This window comes from Homo sapiens, chromosome 8, assembly GCF_000001405.40.
Source record: "Homo sapiens chromosome 8, GRCh38.p14 Primary Assembly".
In the NCBI taxonomy this organism is placed as follows: domain Eukaryota; kingdom Metazoa; phylum Chordata; class Mammalia; order Primates; family Hominidae; genus Homo; species Homo sapiens.
Genome location: NC_000008.11, coordinates 19,632,952 through 19,654,315, shown reverse-complemented (window position 1 = coordinate 19,654,315; position 21,364 = coordinate 19,632,952). Strand labels below are relative to the sequence as shown.

The 21,364-nt window shown below is 40.8% G+C and overlaps 1 protein-coding gene and 1 long non-coding RNA gene across 42 annotated transcripts in view, besides 1 other annotated feature; one reads left to right on the top strand and one right to left on the bottom strand.

Moving 5' to 3' along the window:
* Window positions 1-21,364, top strand: part of CSGALNACT1 (chondroitin sulfate N-acetylgalactosaminyltransferase 1) — a 353,748-nt gene that overhangs the window by 103,593 nt on the left and 228,791 nt on the right. The window lies entirely within an intron of this gene.
* LOC124901900 (uncharacterized) lies at window positions 3,730-13,165 on the bottom strand. Its single transcript, XR_007060842.1, has 3 exons — window positions 13,093-13,165; window positions 5,072-5,143; window positions 3,730-3,810 (listed from the first exon to the last, which is right to left on the bottom strand). It is a non-coding gene; the product is annotated as an uncharacterized LOC124901900 (long non-coding RNA).
* Window positions 13,990-14,534: an enhancer, noted in NCBI's record as "OCT4-NANOG hESC enhancer chr8:19497293-19497837 (GRCh37/hg19 assembly coordinates)". NCBI's record gives its function as "activates a minimal SCP1, AML or CMV promoter by ChIP-STARR-seq in naive H9 embryonic stem cells {active_cell/tissue: H9 hESC(naive)}" and the evidence as "EXISTENCE:reporter gene assay evidence [ECO:0000049][PMID:30033119]".

Here is a 21,364-nt window from a genome sequence, read left to right as displayed (position 1 = left end):
CCCTTCCTATTTGAAATTCAAAGCTTGTTACCATGCTAACTGGACATGACCTTGTAAGAAAGTGATTGAGCATTTCCAGTTTCTGTTGTTTATTTTGAATTTGGAGAAACAGCTGGAAAATGTTATGTTCAGTGACTATTACTGACTTACTGACTCACATCGATGTCATAATGTGGAGGTCCTCAAGCACTCTGAAAGCAGTCAGTTCGTGTGTTTTCAGTGATGATTGAATAAGGCAGCTTTTCATGCAGTGGGCACACCTTAGGCGTTGCAGGATCAGCTTTGGACTTTCAGGGTCCCTGTGGGAGGAGGCTGGGATTTGCTTTCTGTGAACCTAGCATGGTTTCCTTGCAAGGAAGGGGAGAGGGGAATGGAGGCATGTCAGACAGTGAACACCTATAGTCATCCTCCTATACTTTATGATAACTAAGGGGAGATGTGGGTAGGTATTGGATAGAAGGATTTGATGCTCAAGAGAAATGTACAGAAATGTACAGCTGAAGATTTTTTTTTTTTTTAAGACAAGGTATCATTCATTCACCCATGCTGGAGTGCAGTGGCAAAATCACGGTTCACCGATTGTAGCCTTGATCCCCTGGGCTTAAGCAATCCCTCCGCCTCAGCCTCACAAGTAGCTGGGACTACAGATGTGTGTCACCACACCCACAAATTTTTTTAACTTTTTGTAGAAATGGGATCTCACCATGTTGCCCAGACTGGTCTCTAACTCCTGGGGTCAAGTGATCCATACCTCTTGGCCTCCCAAAGTGCTGGGATTACAGGCATGAGCCACTGCACCTGGCCGCAGCTGAAGATTGTGATTTGGTTCTCAACACATATAGATGAGACTTACAGCTATGGGATTGGATGAGGGTGCAGGGTAGGCCCCTGAGGCACACAACAGGCCATGAGAAAGGAGTCTGAGGGGGACAATGGGACCAGTGTCCAAGGAGACAGGAGGGTGGGGCCTCTGAAATCCAGAGAGGGGAGGATTGCTGCCTGTAGGGATACTCAGCGATGTCAACAGCGCTGTGTGCTCAGCCTCCCTTAGAAGGATAGGAGAACTGAGAAAGCTACAAGGACAGGAGGTGACCATCCATTGGGAATGTGGGTTGAAGGGAAGCAAAATCGAGGGGACAGAAGTCTCCTGGTTGGGTTAACTGAGTGGATACTGGTTCCATCAAGAGAGACAGTGATTCTAGGAGGGGGGAGTTGGTTCGAACTGTGGCAGTGGGTTCAGTTTTCATCAGTTCATAATTCACTTTGATGGTTTTCATTACAAGTGTATGCTTATGCCTCCCAAACTTATAAGTAGTTATATATAAAGAGAGGAGGGCAAAGCAGATACTTGGTTACTGGAAAATTTGAGGGTAGAGGGAAAGAGCGTGTAAGGAAAGCTGGAAGGCCACAGAGATCCTAGTCAATAGAAGCTGGGCTCATCTGGTAAACCGAGGATGAGAGGGAGTTTGGAGGAAAGTCAGTAGTTTCCGTTGCTGCGGAGAAGTCAAGTATGTTAATAGCAGAGAAATATCTATTGATTTTGGCAAAGACGATTACTGAAGAGTGGTGGGGTCAAAATTCAATTAACACAGGGATTTTAAGTGGAACAGCAGGAGGTGGGGAAAGCACAGATTGCTGTTTCCCAAAGTCTACTGTAAATAGAGGAGCAGTGGATAGAGAAGGAGATGGTCAAAGAGATGGGGCTCATTATGTTTTGTGGTGTCTGTATGCTGATGGAAAGAGGCAATAGACAGAAGGAAGGCTGACAATACCAGAGAGGATGAATTGAAGGAGTGACCTTATGGAAGAGGTAGGAGGTAGATGGGAAGACAGACAGTTCATCTAGTGAATTAGAAGGGATGGAGGTAAAGACAGGTGGGGATGCATCTATTTCTAGATATGCATCCATGGTCATGGTCCATGAATATTTGAATTTGTATATACTGTCACATAAAGTTATATCAACTCCCCCTCCTTGATCTTGGTCACCAAATATTTACCTTAAGGAAAGTTATTATTAATCAACCTCATACCAGTGAGAATGGCTATTAAAAAGTAAAAAGCAGGCCTGATATGGTGGCTCATGCCTGTAATCTTAGTACTTTGGGAGGCCTAGGCAGGTGGATTGCTTGAGCCCTAAAGTTTAAGAGCAGCCTGGGCAACATGGTGAAACCCCATCTCTACAAAAGAAAAAAATAAATAAAAATAAATATTTAAAATTAGCTGGGTGTGGTGGTGTACACGTGTAGTTCCAGCTATTCAGGAGGCTGGAGCAGGGGATTGCTTGAGCCCAGGCGGTGAAGGTTGCAGTGAGCGGAGATCACGCCACTGTACTCTAGTCTGGGTGGCAGAGTGAGAGCCTGTCTAAAAAAAGTCAAAACAAAACAAAACAAAAAAAAACAGACAGCGAGGTTGTAGAGAAAAGGAAACACATTAATTGCTGGTAAAAATGTAAATTAGTTAACCACAGTGGAAAGCAGTTTGGAGATTTCTGAAAGAACTTCAAAACACTATTTAACCCAGTAATCTCATTACTGAGTATATACCCAAAGAAATAAAAATCATTCTACCATAAATGCACATGCATATGAATGTTCATTGCAGCACTATTCACAATAGCGAAGACATGAAATTAACATAGATGCCCATCAACAGTGGACTAGATAAAGAAAATGTGGTACATACATACCATGGAATACAGTGCATCCATAAAAAAAACAAAATCCTATCCTTTGCAGCAACAAGTATGGAGCTGGAGGCCCTTATCCTAAGTGAATTAATGCAGGAACAGAAAACCAAGTACTGCATGTTCTCGCTTACAAGTGGGAGCTAAACGTTGAGTACACATGAACACAAAGATAGAAACAATAGACACTGGGGCCTAACTGAAGGTGGATGATGGGTGGAAGATGAAGATAAAAAAACTATTGGGTGCGAGCCTTGTTACCTTGGTGACGAAATAATCTGTGTACAGAATGTCTGCAACAGGCTGTTTACCCATGTAAGAGACATGTACATGTACCCCTGAACCTAAAATAAAAGTTGGAGAAAATTAAATAGAAAATGAAAAAAAACAGGAAAGGTATTATTACCCTCATTTTGCCATGCAGTGGCATTGACAAAATCCAGAATTTTGTAAAGTTTTATTGGAACATGATCTATGGCTAGTTCTGTACTACAATGGCAAAACCTGAACTGCCCACCATCTGACCCTTTTCAGAAAAGCTTTCTGACCCCTATACAGTTGATCACATCAAGGCCCAGAGGAAATGTTCACTTCTGAAGACCGCACCTCCATGCTAATCTCTGAGCCCACCTTTTCTTTGTCCCTTGGTGTTCTCCTGATGCTGTAAACTCTTAGAATTATCTGGTGATGCCTCTTTCCAGCACTTTGAACAGTTAAAATTGCTAAGGACACGGGAGCAACTCGTGACTCTTCACCTGAGTCCTGGAAGTGCAGGTTTAGGCCACTTTAGTTTTTAGTCACTTTTCTAAGAAGCCAAGACTCACTTCCTGGCCAAAATCATTACCAAAACCCTCATGTATTCCTCATTCCAAACAAAAGAAATGAACCGGTTTTGTTTCCTTGCTTTGCATTTCCTCAGTGCTTAAGCGTGTTGTTTCAGTCTCACACACACTGTCTGCTATGGCTGGTCTCCTGGGAGCGTCCCCACTGTGCTGGCCTCTGGCATGCTGTCTCCACACCTGATGGTCTTGGGAACCAGGACCACGTTGACCCCGTCATCAGCATCTTCTGTTCGACCATTGCTGAGCATATTGTTGGTGCCCATTGGATTGCATTTGATTTAGCTGAAAAAAATTAAGAGCTTCACTATTGCTCACTTATGCATAAAATAATGTACTAATTACTAGGTGTTCTCTCATTCTTGAAACTAGAACCCCTCCTGGATCTTTTGAAATCGACTTTGAATTGTTGACCAAATTTGAGAGCGTAGTATTTACATCTCTTTATTTCACACTGCTCACAGTTTTCAAGAGAAAAAATCTAAATCTATTTCTTTGTCTAGCTTTCAAATACTTCTGAAGGGGCTAAGATTTTAATAGTTTCAATTTGATTCTACAACCTCATTGATCAGATTATACTTTTATTTAGTTTTATGTATTGCCTGGTGCCTTGCTACTCAAAATGTCATCTCTCCAACAGGAGTATCCTTATTAGAAATGCATAATCTGAGTCTCACCCCAGAGCAACTGAATCGTTTTAACAAGATTGTTGGTGATGCTCATCATACACATGAAAGTTTGGGAAGTACTGTTTTGGCCTGCTGACCCTGCATTTCAGAAAAACATACTGAAATAGGGCCCTACCTCACAGACCTTTTATGTTTTATGTATTATGAAGATGTGGTTTCATATGTTATGGTGAATGTATTCCCTACCAGAAAAATTTTACTGGTTTTCTGTTATTAGAGCTTACAATTAAGAGATACATAATGCCTCCCCCCGTGGTTTTTTTTTTTTTTTTTTTTTTTTTTGCTACTTGGAATGCATTTAATTTCTTCCTTTAATTAGAAATAAAGCCTAAAATTTCTACTCTTTTTAACAAGAGTCTTGGCTAATCTGTAGTAAACGAACAACCTCAACCCTCACCCATGGCAGTAGGCTTGATAGTGGGTTTTGGGGTGTATGGATATTTTATCATTCCCCTTTGATTATTTTGGAAATTGCATGTATTCGTAACTGTGAATTCTGTATAGAATTAAGTTGTCTTTTCCATCTTTTTGAGTACTTGGAAAAACTAAGGGATTAATTACACAAGTAAACACATAGGACTAAGACAACATTTCTTTAAAAATACATGATATACAGCAGCATTCATGTTGTCCTTCTTCCTAATTAATTCCAGAAGGCAGAGTAAAAAAACACTGGATTTATTATTTTTTGCACAGATCACGCTCATGTATAGAATACCAAAGATTCAGGGAGAATAAATCTTCTGGTTTCCATCTTTTAGCCAAGCAGTCCCTTCCTTAGAGTGACTACTCTTAGAAGCTTTCTGTGGGTACTTTCATAGCTAATATCTACACTAGGAGGTTCTTTGTAGTCATACCTAAGAAGATGGCCACCAACTTTGTGATCCTGGGCAAGTGACTAAACCTCCTTGTGCCTCCATTTTTCTCATCTGCAAAATGGGAATATTAGAATCACTGAGAGGAACAAACGAAATAATTGAGATAATTCATGTACATTGCTAACAATTATTGGCACACAGAATACAGTAGGCAAATATCAACTATTAATGTTATATGTGAGTCTGTCTTCACTTTACTGTATGGACATACACAGTAGAGTACTATTATATATTTAAATACTTTGCTTTTTTACACCTACCCATATGAGATCTTCAACACTGTAGAGTCTGATTTATTAGGTATAGAGCTACTGCATTTGTTCTGAAGTCTCTACTGTATTCCGTTTCATGGATATAATTTATCCACTTCTCTGTTAATGGACATTAAGGTGTTCACATTCTTTTTGTTTGTTTCTTTGAGACAGGGTCCCACTCTGTCACGCAGGCTGGAGTGCAGTTGGCGCCACCATGGCTCACTATACCCTCAGTTGCTCCAGGCTCAGGTGATCCTCCCACCTCAGCCTTCTGAGTACCTGGGACTACAGGTACCACCATGCCCAGCTAATTTTAGTACTTTTTGTAGAGACGGGGTTTCACCATGTGGCCCAGGCTAGTCTGGAACTCCTGGGCTCAGGCAATCCTCCTGCCTTGGCCTCCCAGAATGCTGGGATGACAGGTATCAGCCACAGTGTCGAGCCAGGTTGTTTCCATTCTTAGGATTTCATAAAAAGCCTTGGTGAAATCGATGTGTACATGTGGAGATGTATCTGTAAAGGAACTTTCTAGAAATTGAATGTAGAAATGGTCAAAGTGTAGGCTCTAATTTTATATATTGATGAATTGCTCTTCACAGAATGATACACTCCTTCCAGCAGAGAATGAGAGTGCCTGTTTTTGACAGTTTGCCTCTAACATTAATGTTTAAAATGCAGTTTTGTTCAGCAATAGTAAAAATACCCATCCATACTTGGAAATTTGATTAATGTTGCTAGATTCTTTGGAACAGATTGAGTGGTAGGGAGATAACACTTAATGCTTTATTCTTAAGTGTTGGAAGGAGCAAGTAAGTGGTCTAGTGAGCTGTTTTTAGAGGAACTGTATAATATGTAACACATTGTCATTATATTCACTAACTCCCAAAGTATTCTTGAGATATTGAAACAAAACAAAGAGCTTGAATAGAAACCCTGAGCAACAATGTATTTACTTTCCACTTGCAGCAGAACTTGGCCTTTCAGATGCTCCTTGAAGTGCCTTGGCTTAGCAGTACTGTCTCTTGTGCCCAGGGTCTGAGATTGGCACAACACAGAGTGCCTTTCTTTTATTCAAATGTCTCATTATGCAAATTATTGCTGCCAGCCAAACTGCCCATATAGCTTTTGTTTTGGATGTAGGTGAAAGTTTATTCCAAATACTTTCAAATGATAATATAATATCCTAAGTAAACCAGTCCCAAAGCTTGTATCAGCATCTAATATCCTGTATCGTATGACTTGCACTTGGTAATGTTGGGGTAATTGAAGATATTTGCAATTTCTTTATCTGTGTTACATTTTGTAAATTATGCAGCCATTGAATTTTACAGAGTTCCTAATACACCGCTCTGTTGAAAGAAAACTCCGATCTGTGGTAAGAATTAGGATTAGCACTGAGATGCACATTTGTAATCCATTTGGCAGGTGATCACTGGGCTCTCTTAGAGTATTCAGATGAGCTGAGGAATTGAAAGAGGAGGAGCAAAAATAACATGCCAAGATACAGATAAACACATGGCCACTTTTATTTTTTATTTGCTTAAATATTTTTTGAGAGAGGATCTTGCTCTGTCGCCCAGGGTGGAGTGCAGTGGCATGATTCCAACTCAATACATCCTTGAACTCCTGACCTCAAGTGATCTTCTTGCTTTGACCTCTCACAGTGTTGGGAATACAGGGATGAGCCATTGTGTGTAGCCTCGTGTAGCCATTTTTAGTCACTGGGGTATAAAATCAGGAAATACTTGTTGGATAGCAGGTGTAATGGACATGGCACCTGGTCAGGGTGAGAAGCTGTGAGTTGTCAGCTAACCTCTCCCAGCCTGATAGGAAGGCCCTAGCTGCTTCAGTCCTTCAGAAGCTGACCTTCAGGGTGGCCTGTGATGCTGCACTTAAGCGGGCTTCTTATTTAGGGGACCACTAGGCTTACAGGTGCTCGGTGGTAAGCTGAGCCACTCAGCCGTGTAGCTTTCACCATGTTTTACAGGCCAAAGGAGGTCATGCATGTATTCTTGGTGTAGAGCTGAGCACCAAAACTATTTATTCAGGATTGTTGTTATTTCTCCTTAGCAACTTGGCAAGATCTGGACACTGAGGAGGTGTGTCTCTTATCCCCCTCTTTAGAATGCAGGTCAACGCAATAGATGGTGGTAAGCTTCACAGTAGGTACCATTTATGGAGCTCTTACTATCGGCTAGGTCTTTTTGTCAATTGTTAACTGTAATAGGAGATGGATATTTATAGACCCCTTTTATAGATAAATTGAGTCTGAGAGTTTTAAGTATTAATAACATGTGCCAACAAGTAAGGGGGCAACACTGAGATTCATAGACGGGGCTTTCTTGTACTAAAGGTGGCGTTTCCTTATCCACTATGGTATTCTGTCAGCTAAAAATAAAAGTGCCTATACCAATATAAGGGGCTGTCACATCCGTTGGACACTATTGTTTCTTCTAAAAAGGACTCATTATTACTCCTAGTTCCACTACCCTTAATGTAATTATGATCCGTTTTCATGTTGCAAATGATTTTCAGTATCTCTTCAAATTATCTTTGTTACTTCTCTGAAAATCCAGGCTTAATTTATTGACAAGTTGTCAGAATTGCCCTTTAACTTTTCAGTGATCAGCAAAATCACACAGGATCTTTCTTCAGCCTCTGGGGATGGCTGGAGCTTTGTCTCTTTCTCTCTCGGCAAGGTCATTGTCTAATTCTCTTACGATCCAGATACATGCCAGGCAGTGTTCTTATTTTACACACACTTATCTTGTATTTCTAGTATTTTTCTCTTGTCAGTCTACTGAGTAATATCGATTTTTGTCTTCATTAATTCTTCCCATCACTGCCAATCTTCTTCACTCTTTGTGTTCAACATCTCTTTTAAAGTGTCGTTCAATAGGCTTATTCTAGATGTGTTGATTTCTCACTCATTTCTTGTTATTTTTCTTTTAATTAAAAGGCTTATTGTATTTTCTATAACATGCTTTTCCCTCTCTTTGGAGGGCGTATTGTTAGCTCTCTGGTGGGATTCTTTTTACCGTTTACCCATTCCTTTTATCCTCATTTTTTTCTAGGCTGTGTGGAGTTTGGAGTTGGTGTGGGGTGGACAGAGAGAGCCCAGGCCAGCACTGCCCTGGGGGAACCAGTGGGTAATGTCAGGGCCAGGGCTACATTTGATCATCCAGGCTGCTGCCATATCATTCACTTGCTACCTGTTCCAGCCACTTCTGCCAACATCAATCACAGCTTTCCCCCTGTGCTTGCAAGTCAGGCAGTGCCCACAGCATCAGTGACCCAGGAGTCCAGTCTTTCATAATGGACTTACAGCTTCCATTCGTTGGTAGGCAAGCTGCGCTTTGAACCAGGAATTTAGTACCCACGATCTCAACCTTACGCCCACCCTTCGAGGTTCCTTGTTATCTGTGTTTGACAGCTGCGGAAATGGATGCTCTGGGAGGTTAAGAACCTTGCCAAGGAGCACACAGCTTGTAAGTGGCTGCACTGGGATTCTACCTCCTGTCTGTGTGACTTCAAAATCTAGACAATTTCCACCACAGCAGCTTGTTCTCTGACAAAGGGAATTTGGTGCTTGAGTGTTGTTTTATAGCTTTTGTTATCTTCAGTTGGACAGTATTCTCCATGTCTTCATTAGAGGATGTCTTGGCTATGTCCCACTGTTGTATGTTAATACCGTTGCATCATGCTGCCTAAAGTTACTCATTTTTCCCTGTTTGACTTATTAATAATCCAGCACATTGTTCCCTTTGTTCATTGTATTAGAATCAAATAACTGGTGAATCCTGTTGCCCGGCCTCCTGCCTTGGTGAGAGCAGGCCTAAATTAATTATAATGTTTTGCTCTGACAGTCTAATCATATCAAAATCAAGGTTATTGATGATTTTATTTTTAATGAATTGAACTTTGATGATTAAAAGACTTTTACATAGATCCTTTCATTTTTATCAAAACTGGATTTTTACTCTTAAATTTGTTTCTTGGCCAGACAGAGGCTCCTGCTATTTACACAGGAATATTATTAATACCTGGCTGATGGCATGTTGGGATAAGACTTTTATGGATATAGGATATGCCTCAGTTTCATAAAATATTTAGAATGATTTTTTTGTATCTGCAGTACAAGATCTTAGGTTAGGTACCTGAGGTCATTTTTAGTTCTGTAATTCTGGTTTAGAAGAAGCTTTGGCTTGATGAGATGACTAGCTATGTTTCCTCTTTTTTTTTTTTTTTTTTTTTTTTTTTGAGACGGAGTCTCGCTCTGTTACCCAGGCTGGAGTGCAGTAGCACCATCTCGGCTCACTGCAACCTCTGCCTCCCGGGTTCAAGCAATTCTCCTGTCTCAGTCTCCCAAGTAGCTGGGATTACAGGCGCATGCCACTATGCCCAGCTAATTTTTGTATTTTTAGTAGAGATGGGGTTTTACCATGTTGGCCAGGCTGGTCTGGAACTCCTGACCTCAGGTGATTCACCCACCTCAGCCTCCCAAAGTACCGGGATTACAGGCGTGAGCCACTGCACCCCGCCCCTCATTACCTTTTTTTTTTTTTGAGAGGTTAAGAACTGTTTTTCAGGTGTATTTTTTTCTGATTAAGAAATTAATATTTGTGAAAACAAAAAAGAAATATACTAATTATGGAAAATGTAGAAAATCCAGAAATATATGAAGAATAAAATAAGTTACCTATAATTTTACCTACTAGTAACGTTACAATGATGATCACTATTAATTATTTTGGTATATTTGCCTTTAATCCGTGTGTGTGCACTGTGTGCACACATATTGGCAAACTTGAGACTCCAACACATTAACATATATCACAAATTTTCTATTAAAAACTCATAAACATAATTTTAATGTTAGACAATATTTTATAAAATCTATATGCCATAACTTAGCATTCTCCAATGTTAGGCATGTAAATTACAATTTTATGAACAATGCTCCTATGTACACATGACTGCATAGACATCTTTGTCCACATTTATGACTGTTTGATTTAGATTGATTCCTCAAAGTAAAATTACTAGGTCAAAAAGTAAGACCACCTTAAATATACTTCATACTTGCCAAATTACTGCTAAATTGTTTACCCGAGTGACTGAGCCAATTTCCACTGCAGCCAGCAGCAGATGGAAGCCTGGACTCAATATTCTCCAACAGGCATTGTGTGCTATCCTGGTTAATTTGATCAGCAAAAACTAATGTTTTCTCAAGTCTCAGTTCTTTATCAGTGAATTTATTAAACTTCAGAAAATCTGTGTATTAACATTTTCACTACTTTAAAGAAACTTTCCACACTTTTTTTTTTTTTTTAAGATGGTGTCTCACTCTCTTGTCCAGGCTGGAGTGCAGTGGTGCAGTCTTGGCTTACTGCAACCTCTGTGTCCCAGGCTCAAGCAACTCTTTTGTCTTAGCCTCCCAAGTAGCTGGGATTACAGGTGCACACTATCACACCCAGCTAATTTTTTGTATTTTTAGTAGACACAGGGTTTCACCATGTTGGCCAGGCTAGTCTTGGACTCCCGACCTCAAGTCATCCTACTGCCTTGGCCTCCCAAAGTGATGAGATTACAGGCATGAGCCACTGTGCCTGGTGAAAGCTCCCTACTTTTTAATCTATTGAAGTCTAGTATGTTTCTTACAGCTTGTAAAACATCTTTATAGATTAGGAATATTGACACTTTATTATATTAGCTGAAAGCATTGTCCTAGTTGGTTATTATTGACTTTTTAAAATTATTTTTTAATGTTTAATTTGCTGATTTTTATTCAGTATTTTAATTTACTGTATTAATAGTTCATAATATACTATATAACATATAACTTACTATATAAAGGTAAATTTACTAATTCAATTTATTAATTTTAATTTTTAAGTAGTCGTGTATATTTTATGTGTGTGATTCCTGCCATCATTTTAGAAAATCTCCCATCCAGAAGGTTGGTCACAATTTAACTGTATTTTCTTCCAGCTCCTGTAATGGGATTTAAAAACTTTAACTGTATTATTTACATGAAATTTATTTTGAATTATATTTTGAAATGGAGAAAAATCTGACTTGATTTTTCTTCTATAGATAATCTTTTGACTGACCCAGCAATTTTTTTGTTGTTGTTGAATAAGCCTTTGTGTCCCCACCACAGCCATTTTTTTTTTTTTTTGTGACAGGGTCTCACTTTGTCACCCAGGCCGGAGTGCAGTGGTGAAAGCACAGCAGCTCATTGCACCCTCAATCTCCTGGGCCCAAACGATCCTCTCACCTCAGCCTCCCGAGTAGCTGGGACTACAGGTGTGTGTGTGCCACCATGCCCAGCTAGTTTTGTTTTGTTTTGTTTTGTTTTTGTAGAGAAGGCATTTCACCTTTTTGCCCAGGCTGGTCTCAAACTCCTGAGCTCAAGTGATCCACCCTCCTTGGCCTCCCAAAGTCCTGGGATTACAGGCATGAGCCACTACTCTCAGCTTCCCCATAGCCTTTTGTCATCACTTCATCATGTATTAATGTCTTTTATAGCTTAGGGTCTGTTTCTGTGCTATTTAGTTTTGTTGATCTGTTTCATATTTACCCTAGAATGATACTCTGTTATTGTAGCTTTATGTTTTATTTCTTGAAGTTGTATTCTTCCTCCTTACAATTATTTTCTAGAACTTAGTCATTGTAACCGTTTTACTTTATATGAGTCAGAGTCATTTTGCAAGATTCATTCTCTTCTGTCTTCTCTGATCTCTACCCTTCCTACAGCAAAAACAAACAAAATAAAAACTAAAGGGAAACACAGATGTCTCTAAGATTTCTCTTGGAATTGTGTAAAGCTAACAAAATGATTCAGGCAGAATGGAACTCTGTTTTAGTGCCTATTTAACAAGCCATTTTCCTTTCAAACAGAAGCCTCTTAGTTTTCAGTACTCTTCCTAACTGATGTCCAGTTAGACACAGACATCAGGCGTTGCCCAAATATCTCCCAAGGAAGAGGTGATTGGACTACATGGTTTTTACACCTATAAAGGGTTGTAAAATAAACCAAAGAGGAAGATGAGGCAGAAACCTCATGGAGCCCACAAAGCTGAAAATATTTAAGTATCTGTCCCTTCGCAGAAAAAAATTGCTGAGGACACTGTGTAGCAAAGCCCCGGCCAACAACCAGAAGGCATTTGGGGGTCACCTGGTAATTATGAGCCATCACTTTGCTTTCAGTCACTTTCTGCCTCTTCTGTACATTATCTAGGAAGGTGTGTGTTTTGTAAATGCATTTAAGGCAGTCTTATGGGAGGATATGAGTGAATGCCTACAGGTTTTGTTTCTTTCTTTGTTTTCACCCTCGTATTTCAATATGTTTCATACATTTAAAAAGGTATGTTGAGTGTGTGTTGTGAAACATTTTTTACAATGTACTTCTTTTTGAAAGATCGTGTCCACTCCTGTGGACATCTTGTTTTAATGGAGTTTCCCATGCAGTAGGACTGGTATGGTTGCAGCTGTCCAGATAAAAACATTTGAAGAGCTCCAAAATGAGAGTTCTCCCAGGTTCGCCCTGCTGCTCCAAGTCTCAGCAGCAGCCTCTTTTAGGAGGCATCTTCTGAACTAGATTAAGGCAGCTTGTAAATCTGATGTGATTTGGTTTATTATCCAACTAACTTCCATCTGTTATCACTGGAGAAAGCCCAGACTCCCCAGGACGGGTAGGGATTGTGGGCATAGAGGGATTGGGTGAGGCTGGCGTTGTGGTACCTGGAAAAGCTTGAACACTTGAAGGTCTTGTTGGGAGGAGAAGTGAAGGGGAGAGAGAGGGTTGGTTTAAAAAAAAAAAAAAAAAAAAAAAAAAAGACCAGTCACCATTATTGGTAATACAGGTAGATTCCGCATCCCTGGGAGACTTGAGAACTCCATGGAAGGAGAGACCTAATAGAAATGGATTACAAAATGATCCTGCTTTGTGTTTAAGCAGCCTGAGTCTCACAGGATCAGTCTGAACTCTAATGGGTTTCTCTATGGTTTCATTCCTCTGTCTTAGAAAATGATTGTTCAGGCACTGAATCCAGCCTTTTGGATAATCTGAAAGGAAAAAAAAAACAACCAAAACTTAAGTCTTAAGCTCATAATTCTACTTTCTGAAATACAGAGTGTGTTTGCTAAAGATTTCATAATCTTTTTTCAAGTGTAGAATTGTTTAAGAATAGTGTAAGGGCCTGCAGAGTTTGGTTAATAGAATTTATAGCATGCGAGTCAGGCAAAGACCAAATTTCATGGAAAAACTTCTGAAGCAAAGTTGTTAGAAATTCAGATTAGATTCAAGTGTGCCAGATCAACTACTGAGAAATGCTATATAGTGCTTCCCTGTTAGAAGAATCTGCTTAGAATTAATGTTGTTATTTTCTTATGTAGTGGAGAACTGATTTTGAGTTTGAGTCCAAGTACATTTTCCAGATGTAATCATTTTACCTAAGTAAATGAAAATATGGCTGTGTTTGGGACTCAAAGTTACATTGAGAATGTCTTTAGCAGCAGTTTGATGTTCAGTCAAGAATACTCTAGCAGCTGAATTCCAAGGAGTCTGGAGAATTTCAGGAATCAAGGAGAAAACAGTGAGATTTGAGAGTTGGGAGATTTACATGTGTGGGATCATGTGCTTTAAATTTGTTGCATAGTCATTTTCCATACATGTGTAATATATGTAAATGTACATATGTATAAATACATTTCATAAAGTGAGCAAAATATACAAATATTACACTGATGTGTGGCTGGCAAGTGCTAGAGGTTGAGATGGGAGATGTTAATAAGCTATTTGCTCACTACAGTATCATTGAGGGAAATAAAATACCTTATATATCTTTGTTATTTCCCCCCAGGTGCATTGAACATTGAAAGGTCTCATCAGCAGGTGGGATCGTTTACTGAGCTTGGTTGAATGGGCATGGTGGTGCGCCTGTAGTCCCAGCTACTTGGGAGGCCGAGGTGGGAGAATCACCTGAGCCCAGGGAGGTCTGGGCTGCAATGGACAGTGATTGTACCACTGCATTCCAGCCTGAGAGACGGAATGAAACTGTCTCATTAAAAAAACAAACAAAAACAAAACAAAACAAAACTGTTCTTAAAAGTGAGTGTTCCAAAGAGCATTTTAGATAATGCAAATGGATATATCGTTATAAATTCAGGAGACTCCTTAATATTTTGCCATTTGTTTATGATGACATGGAGCGGGTCAGAGCAGTTGCACGTTGTGGATGGCCTGATTAAGAAAAGCAGCTCTCTTCCCCTTGAGGTGGAAGAAGAGAGGGAAGCTTTGTCAAATGTTAAATTACCTGCCCCATCTTCCTGACTCCCAAGACTTGGTATGATACATAGTTTTCAATATTCATTACCCATTTTGAGTATCTCCTCCCTGGTCCTGCTATGGAACTATGTGCCCTGACCAAGAGTGATGGGGGTACCCTAGTTTTGTGACAGACCTGTTTCCACATTGTTTCACATGTGATACAGTAGATTTTAGCAACTCTTTGGCTTCTTCCTGGCAGTGGTTAATGGTGCAATGAAAATATTAGAAAATAAAAACCATTCTGTGGAAAATTGGGAGCAAAATTCTCATTAATCCAAAAACAACAATAGCTAGCATATTTCCCCCAGACCCCATGATGTAGACATGTTTGTCTCTCATTGTTTAAATACAACCCTTCTTAACCAAGGGCAAGCATGCTGTGCCTTTCTCCTCTCCCATTTGGACATAAAGCCTGTTATTGTTGATTGTTCTGTGGTTGGGTCACTTGAAAATGAGATTTCATTTAAGTAGAACATTTTCATTACAGGATAACAGGCCTCTTTAATTTTGTACTTTTAGAGGGGCTAGGGAAACATTCATATTTACTGTCAATTTTCCCCTTCAGAGTCCTGAAGAGGCAGGGGAGGAGTCGTTAGAGAAGAGGTGATCATGATATACCTCTTTATTGGTGAGCCATAAAAAAACAGAAAAAGAACACAGAAAGTAGGCATTTACAGTAGTAAAAGCCTTTTGCAAATTATGTATGTGGTAGTTTTAACTGACCTTGGAAGTTGTAACTTTGATGTGCAAAGTAAGTCTCGGTGTATGCTTTTACATCAGAATGTGGCCTTTAAGAATAATGATCATCTATTGAATTTACAAAATACCTTCCCACAGGCCTAGTTCAGCTCTTTCTTGGTGGGGAGCAAATGAATTGACACTCTGTCTCTAGCCTTAGGGAAGTTACCACCCAGTGACTATAGAACAGGATTCTATTCCCGTTCTGTTCTCACTTATATGATCACTTCTTTCAAAGATCTCATAGAACTATTTAAATTCCAGTTGGGTTAGTCTTTTGTGCATTTCGATTTTATTTAATTATAATACATTTTAAATATTTCTTTGCCCCTTATTGTTAGCCTTTTCACTTGTTCCCTTTCTGATTCATCCAGTTCCTTTTACCTTATCTTAGCAAAATATTGTAATGCTGCTGAGAACCAGAAATAACTAGAACAATTAACTGAGAGTAATCTTACAGGGCAGGAAAAAGAAGGCGAGGTCCAAGGTTAGGTTGAACCCAAAGACAAGTGGGCACCGATGGGTGTGATCGCCACTTGGGGCAGTGCTTTTCTTCCCTTCTGGGTGGGCTTGTCTGTTGCCCATTTTCCGCTCTGCTTTTTGGAGCAGCAGACACAGTTGAGGCAGGGAGGGCAGCCTCTCAAGCCCAACCTCTCTCAGGAGCGGACATTTGAGCTGAGACCTGAAGGGTGAGGTGGATGTGGCTGTCCTAAGGAGGCAGGGAAGGGAGTTTCAATACAAAGGAGGGCCTGGGAAGCTAGAAATGAGTCTCCTAGCTTATTTTAGACAGTCGTTGGTTTCAAGAGACTAACAGTTTAGGTTGGTTGTCAAGGTTTTTCTATACCTTCATCGAAACTTCCTCATATCAGTTGACAAAAGCCAGTGAGCTGCTCAGTGGACCCACTGCTGCTTCCTTCGGTTTAACCAGCACTTTCGACCTGAGATCTGCTCCAGCTGACCTTGAAGGGACCTGTTTAACCCATCCTGTGGCTAACCTCAACTAATATCAGCGCTGGGCACTCACTTCTTCTATGTTTGTTTAAAAAAAAAAAAAAAAACTGGTCAGGCTGATTTCGAGAACATTCTCGTACAACGAGTATAATTCTCAGGTTGTAATTTCCCTTGTCAGTTACGAATGATCCTCAGAAGTCAGTCCTGCAACAGCAGTGACAAACTGATTCCTGGTTATTTGCCAATTACCTTTTTAAAACTTAGGCTCAGTTTTATAATTAGATCAGCCCTGAAGGGAAACTCCTTACTAGATGTGCTGCATTAGACTTAATTTGCATGGAATATTAACAGTATCTGGAGGCTTACTTTCCCTTGTATGCATGTGACCACATAACTGTTCGGCTAACATTAAGTTTTAAGTGCTTTTATTTTAAATATCAGCCTTCGGGGGGAATAATCAAGACCTAACAGAAGGGAAAATTAGGCTTATGACATTATCATACAAAAAAGAGAACATTATAAACCGGAAAGAGAAACAGTAAAATAAAAATCTTCCCAAGTGCATATGGTAAATAAAAAAGAATGATTGCTGTGATTACTAAAACGACCAACTCCAAATTGAGAAAATAAAGGCTTTTGGTTGAAAAGAAGGGGGTGGTTTGATTCCCTACCAACTAGAAAAGGGAAAGTCTCTTGAAGCAGAGCAATTTCCTTGAGACTTTATTTTTATTTATTTATTTATTTTGAGATGGAGTCTCTATCGCCCAGGCTGGAGTGCAATGGTGCGATCTCCACTCACTACAACCTCTGCCTCCTGGGTTCAAGCGATTCTCCTGCCTCAGCCTCCTGAGTAGTAAAGTGAGGGATTACAGGTGGAGACCACCATGTCTGGCTAATTGTTCTATTTTTTTTTTTTTTAGTAGAGAACAGGGTTTCTCCATGTTGGCCAGGCTGATCTCGAATTCCTGACCTCAGGTGATCTGCCTTCCTTGGCCTCCCAAAGTGCGATTACAAGCTTGAGCCACCATGCCTGGCCTCCTTAAGACTCTTTAATGAAAATAGATGATGTAGCATGTCCTTGCTTTCTTCAGTGTGAAACAATTGTCTCAAGGATTTTGATTGACCTGTGAAAGCATCCACATTGAAATGGTATTACATAAGGTAAAAAACGTTACAAAACTCGGGAGAAGGAAGACTCTAAAGTTATTCCTATTGATTGAATAGGGAATTCTAGAAGGATGTTACCAAGTTCTCACTCCATTTGGGGACAGCACTACCGACTGTATGTGACACCAGGGTAGTTTTACTGGTGTGAACATCGATTTTGGAAAGACAGGTCTTGTTCAGGTGTATGAAAAATAATTATGCCTTTGTGGGACTTGTCAACACTTTTCAGAGACAGAGCAGCATAGAATATAAAAAACTGTCCACCATTTTCTATGAAGTGACTCCAATTATATAAAGTGGTGCTGATTATAGGGGTACTATTTTCTCTTGGATTTTGGTATCGCTTACACAGTCGTTTCCTCTTAAACACAAGGGATATGCTCCCAGATTCTCATTGGATGCCTGAAGCCACAGATAGTCCCAAACCCTAATATATATTATAGTGTTTTTTTGAATATATACTTATCTATGATAAAGTTTATCAGGCACAGTTAGAGATTACCAACAATAACCAATAATAAAATGGAATAGTTATAACAATATACTGTAATAAAAGTTACGTGAAACTGATCTCTCTCTCTCTAACTCTCTCAAAATACCTTATTGTATTGTACTCGCCTGTTTACTGACCATGGTTAACCTGAGGTAATGGAAACTGCAGAAAGTGAACCGCTGATAAGCGGGACTACGGCATATAGTTAATGGGAATACTACCGTAAAATCTGAGGAATGGTGTGTGAAGCCTTTGAAAAATGAATGAACAGGCTCATGCCTGTAATCTCAGCACATTGGAAGATCAAGGCAGGTGGATCATCTGAGGTCAGGAGTTCGAGACCAGCCTGGCCAACATGGTGAAACCCTGTCTCTACTAAAACTACAAAAAAATGAGCCGGGCATGGTCTTGCATGCCTGTAATCCCAGCTACTCAGGAGGCCGAGGCAGGAGAATTGCTTGAACCCGGGAGGCAGAGGTTGCAATGAACGGAGATCACGCCACTACACACCAGCCTGGGCAACAGAGCAAGACTCCGTCTCAAAAAACAAAACGAAAAGCTGAAAAGGGAAGTGGAAAGACTTCCTAAATGCCCGCTTTGGATGCCTCACAACTGTGTCCCTCTGCCCATCCCTCCTTTATGAAACAACCTCAATATGCCGAAAAAGTGGAGCTGATCTTGAAATGCCTGTGAATGGTGAGGGGAGGAGCAGTTAAGTATCTGGTGAGACTACAGACAAGGGGGAGGCAACAAGGAAGTTGGACACAGAAGCAGCCGAGGTTCACCCCTAAGCCCCTGACACTAACAGATGCCACATGTATGCGGCGGTTCAGATCTGCCATTTAGGGCAACAGGCCTAGATCAAAGCGTTGAGGAAAAACACCAGTAGGCAGGTAGGACTTGGTGTCTAAAGTGAGGGCAACACACATCAGGAGATGCTGTAGGCAAGAGTAGACACTGAGGAAGTTGGACAGAAAAGCAGCTCAAACACATCCCTGCCCTTGGCCTTGCACGGGCCTACTCGCCAAGGAGTTCAGACAGGTGCCCAGAGGCTTTTCCACCAGTGTGGGCTCAGGAGAGGACGGGTAGCTGTCTTCTCCCTCCCTCTCCTCCTGGTCCCCTCTGCCCTGATGGCCAGGCCCAGGGCACGGCAGTGAAGGAGGAGGTAAACAGATCTTATTTATTATTGAAAGCAAAGGACCATAACCACTTAATTACACAATCATTTAGAAATTTGCTGTACTTAAAACGTACAACATTTACTTAAAACATTTAACATGACCTGTCTTTCCAAAATCGATATGACAGAGTCCTGACTCAGATGGTGTCTGATTAGCGCTACTGCTTTTAAAGTGTTATCATCATTATATTACATTGTGTTCTCACTTAAATATGACAGCTGTCTTAGCTTGGGCTTCCATCACAAAATACCATAGGCCGAGTGGTTATGCAAGAGAATTTTCTCATAGGTCTAGAGGCTGGAAGTCCAAGATGAAGGCGTGCGCCACTTTGCTTCCTGGTAAGGGCTCTCTTATTGGCTTGTAGATGACTGCCTTCTCTCTGTGTCTCCATATGGCTGAAAGAGAAAGCAAGCTCTGTTGTCTCATCTTTTTTAAAAAAAATATTGAGACAGGTCTCACTCTGTTGCCCAGGCTGGAATACAGTGGTGCAATCATGGCTCACTGCAGCCTAGACCTCCTGGGCTCAAGTGATCCACCCATGTCAGCCTCCTGAGTAGCTGGGACTACCGGTGTGCATCACCATATCAAGTTCATTTTTTAATGTTTTGGAGAGACAGGGTCTCATTGTGTTTCCCAGGCTGGTCTGGAACTCTTTGGCTCAAATGATCCTCTTGCCTCGGCCTCTCTCTGCTGGGATTACAGGCATGAGCCACCACACCTGGCCTCTTGTATTTCTTCTTGTAAGGGCGCTAATCCCATCACGAACATCCCACCACATGATCTCATGTAAACCTAGTCACCTGCCAAAGGCCCCATTTTCAAATACCATCACACTAAGGAGTTAAGGCTTCAACATAGGAATTTTGGGAGGAAATAATCCAGTCCATAGCAACAGTTTTTGAGCCACAGACGTTTTATGTGTATGAAAGTAATATGTTTTCAAAATGAACAAATATGACGTAAAGTGTCCTAGGTTTACTTAACTTTTAGGTAAAATTATAAATTTACTAGCTTATTTTGTGTTTATGAAAAATTAAACCAAACAAACTCCCAAGTCCCAGGAGGGGCTTTATGGGTTTTCCGTAGACCTTTAGGCATCATCCCTGGAGGCTGTGTTACTGTTAAGTGAAAGTAGGAAGGCACGAACCCTCGGTTGGGAAAGAAGTCTGGTCCCTGGGGAGGAGGTTAGTGCAGCAAGGTTGGGCCCCAGTCTCAGAAGAGCTTTGCATGCCACCAGTTTGGCATGCCACCAGTTGTCCAGAAAGAAGGGTTTGAACCCCTGTTTGACTCAAGAACCAAGGCATGTGTATCAGTTTCTCAGGGTTGCTATAACAAATCACTACAAGCTAGATGGTTTAAAACAACTGAAATTTACCGTCTCACAGTCCTGGAGGTTAGAAGTCTGAAATCTGAAATCTGAAAGCTAAAAGTCTGGAGGGCAATTCTCCCTGTTAAAACCCATAGGGGAAAACTCTCCCTTGCCTCCTCCCAGCTTCCAACGGTGGGATTCCTTGCTTTGCAGCTGCATCTCTGCAGTCTCTCTTTGCTGTCACATTTTCACATTGTGTTAAGAGGACAATAGCCATATGGAATTAAGGACCTGCCCTATCTCAGTATAACCTTGTCTTAAGTCATTATATCTGCGATGAGCCTATTTTCAAATAAGATGTGAAGTTTTGGGGCTGAGACTTTAACATATCTTCTTTGGGGTACCACCATTCGGCCCTTAATTGTATGGTAGCAAGCTTTATGTCTGTAGTGTGGGTGAGAGTAGTATGGTTGTCAAGCAGTAGGGTAAGAAAGGGAAGGAAAGGATCACAAAAATCAAATGACTCATACTGTATTAGATACTTGGAACTCTCCAGCCTCGAGACTCAATGATAAAGATTCACCGACGACCTGGGGAAGCCCTCTTAATTCGGCAGGGATAATCAAGTACCTCCTGTGCCAGAGGTCCCTCACTGGAAATGTTTAAAAAGTTACATCATTTATTCTTACCAGCCCCCAAACTCCCTTTTAAAAAGCCCTCAGCTGGGCACGGTGGCTCAGCATTTTGACACTTGTGATCTCAGCATTTTGGCAGGCTGAGGTGGGCAGATCCCTTGAGCCCAAGAGTTTGAGACCAGCCTGAGCAACATGGGGAAACCTCGTCTC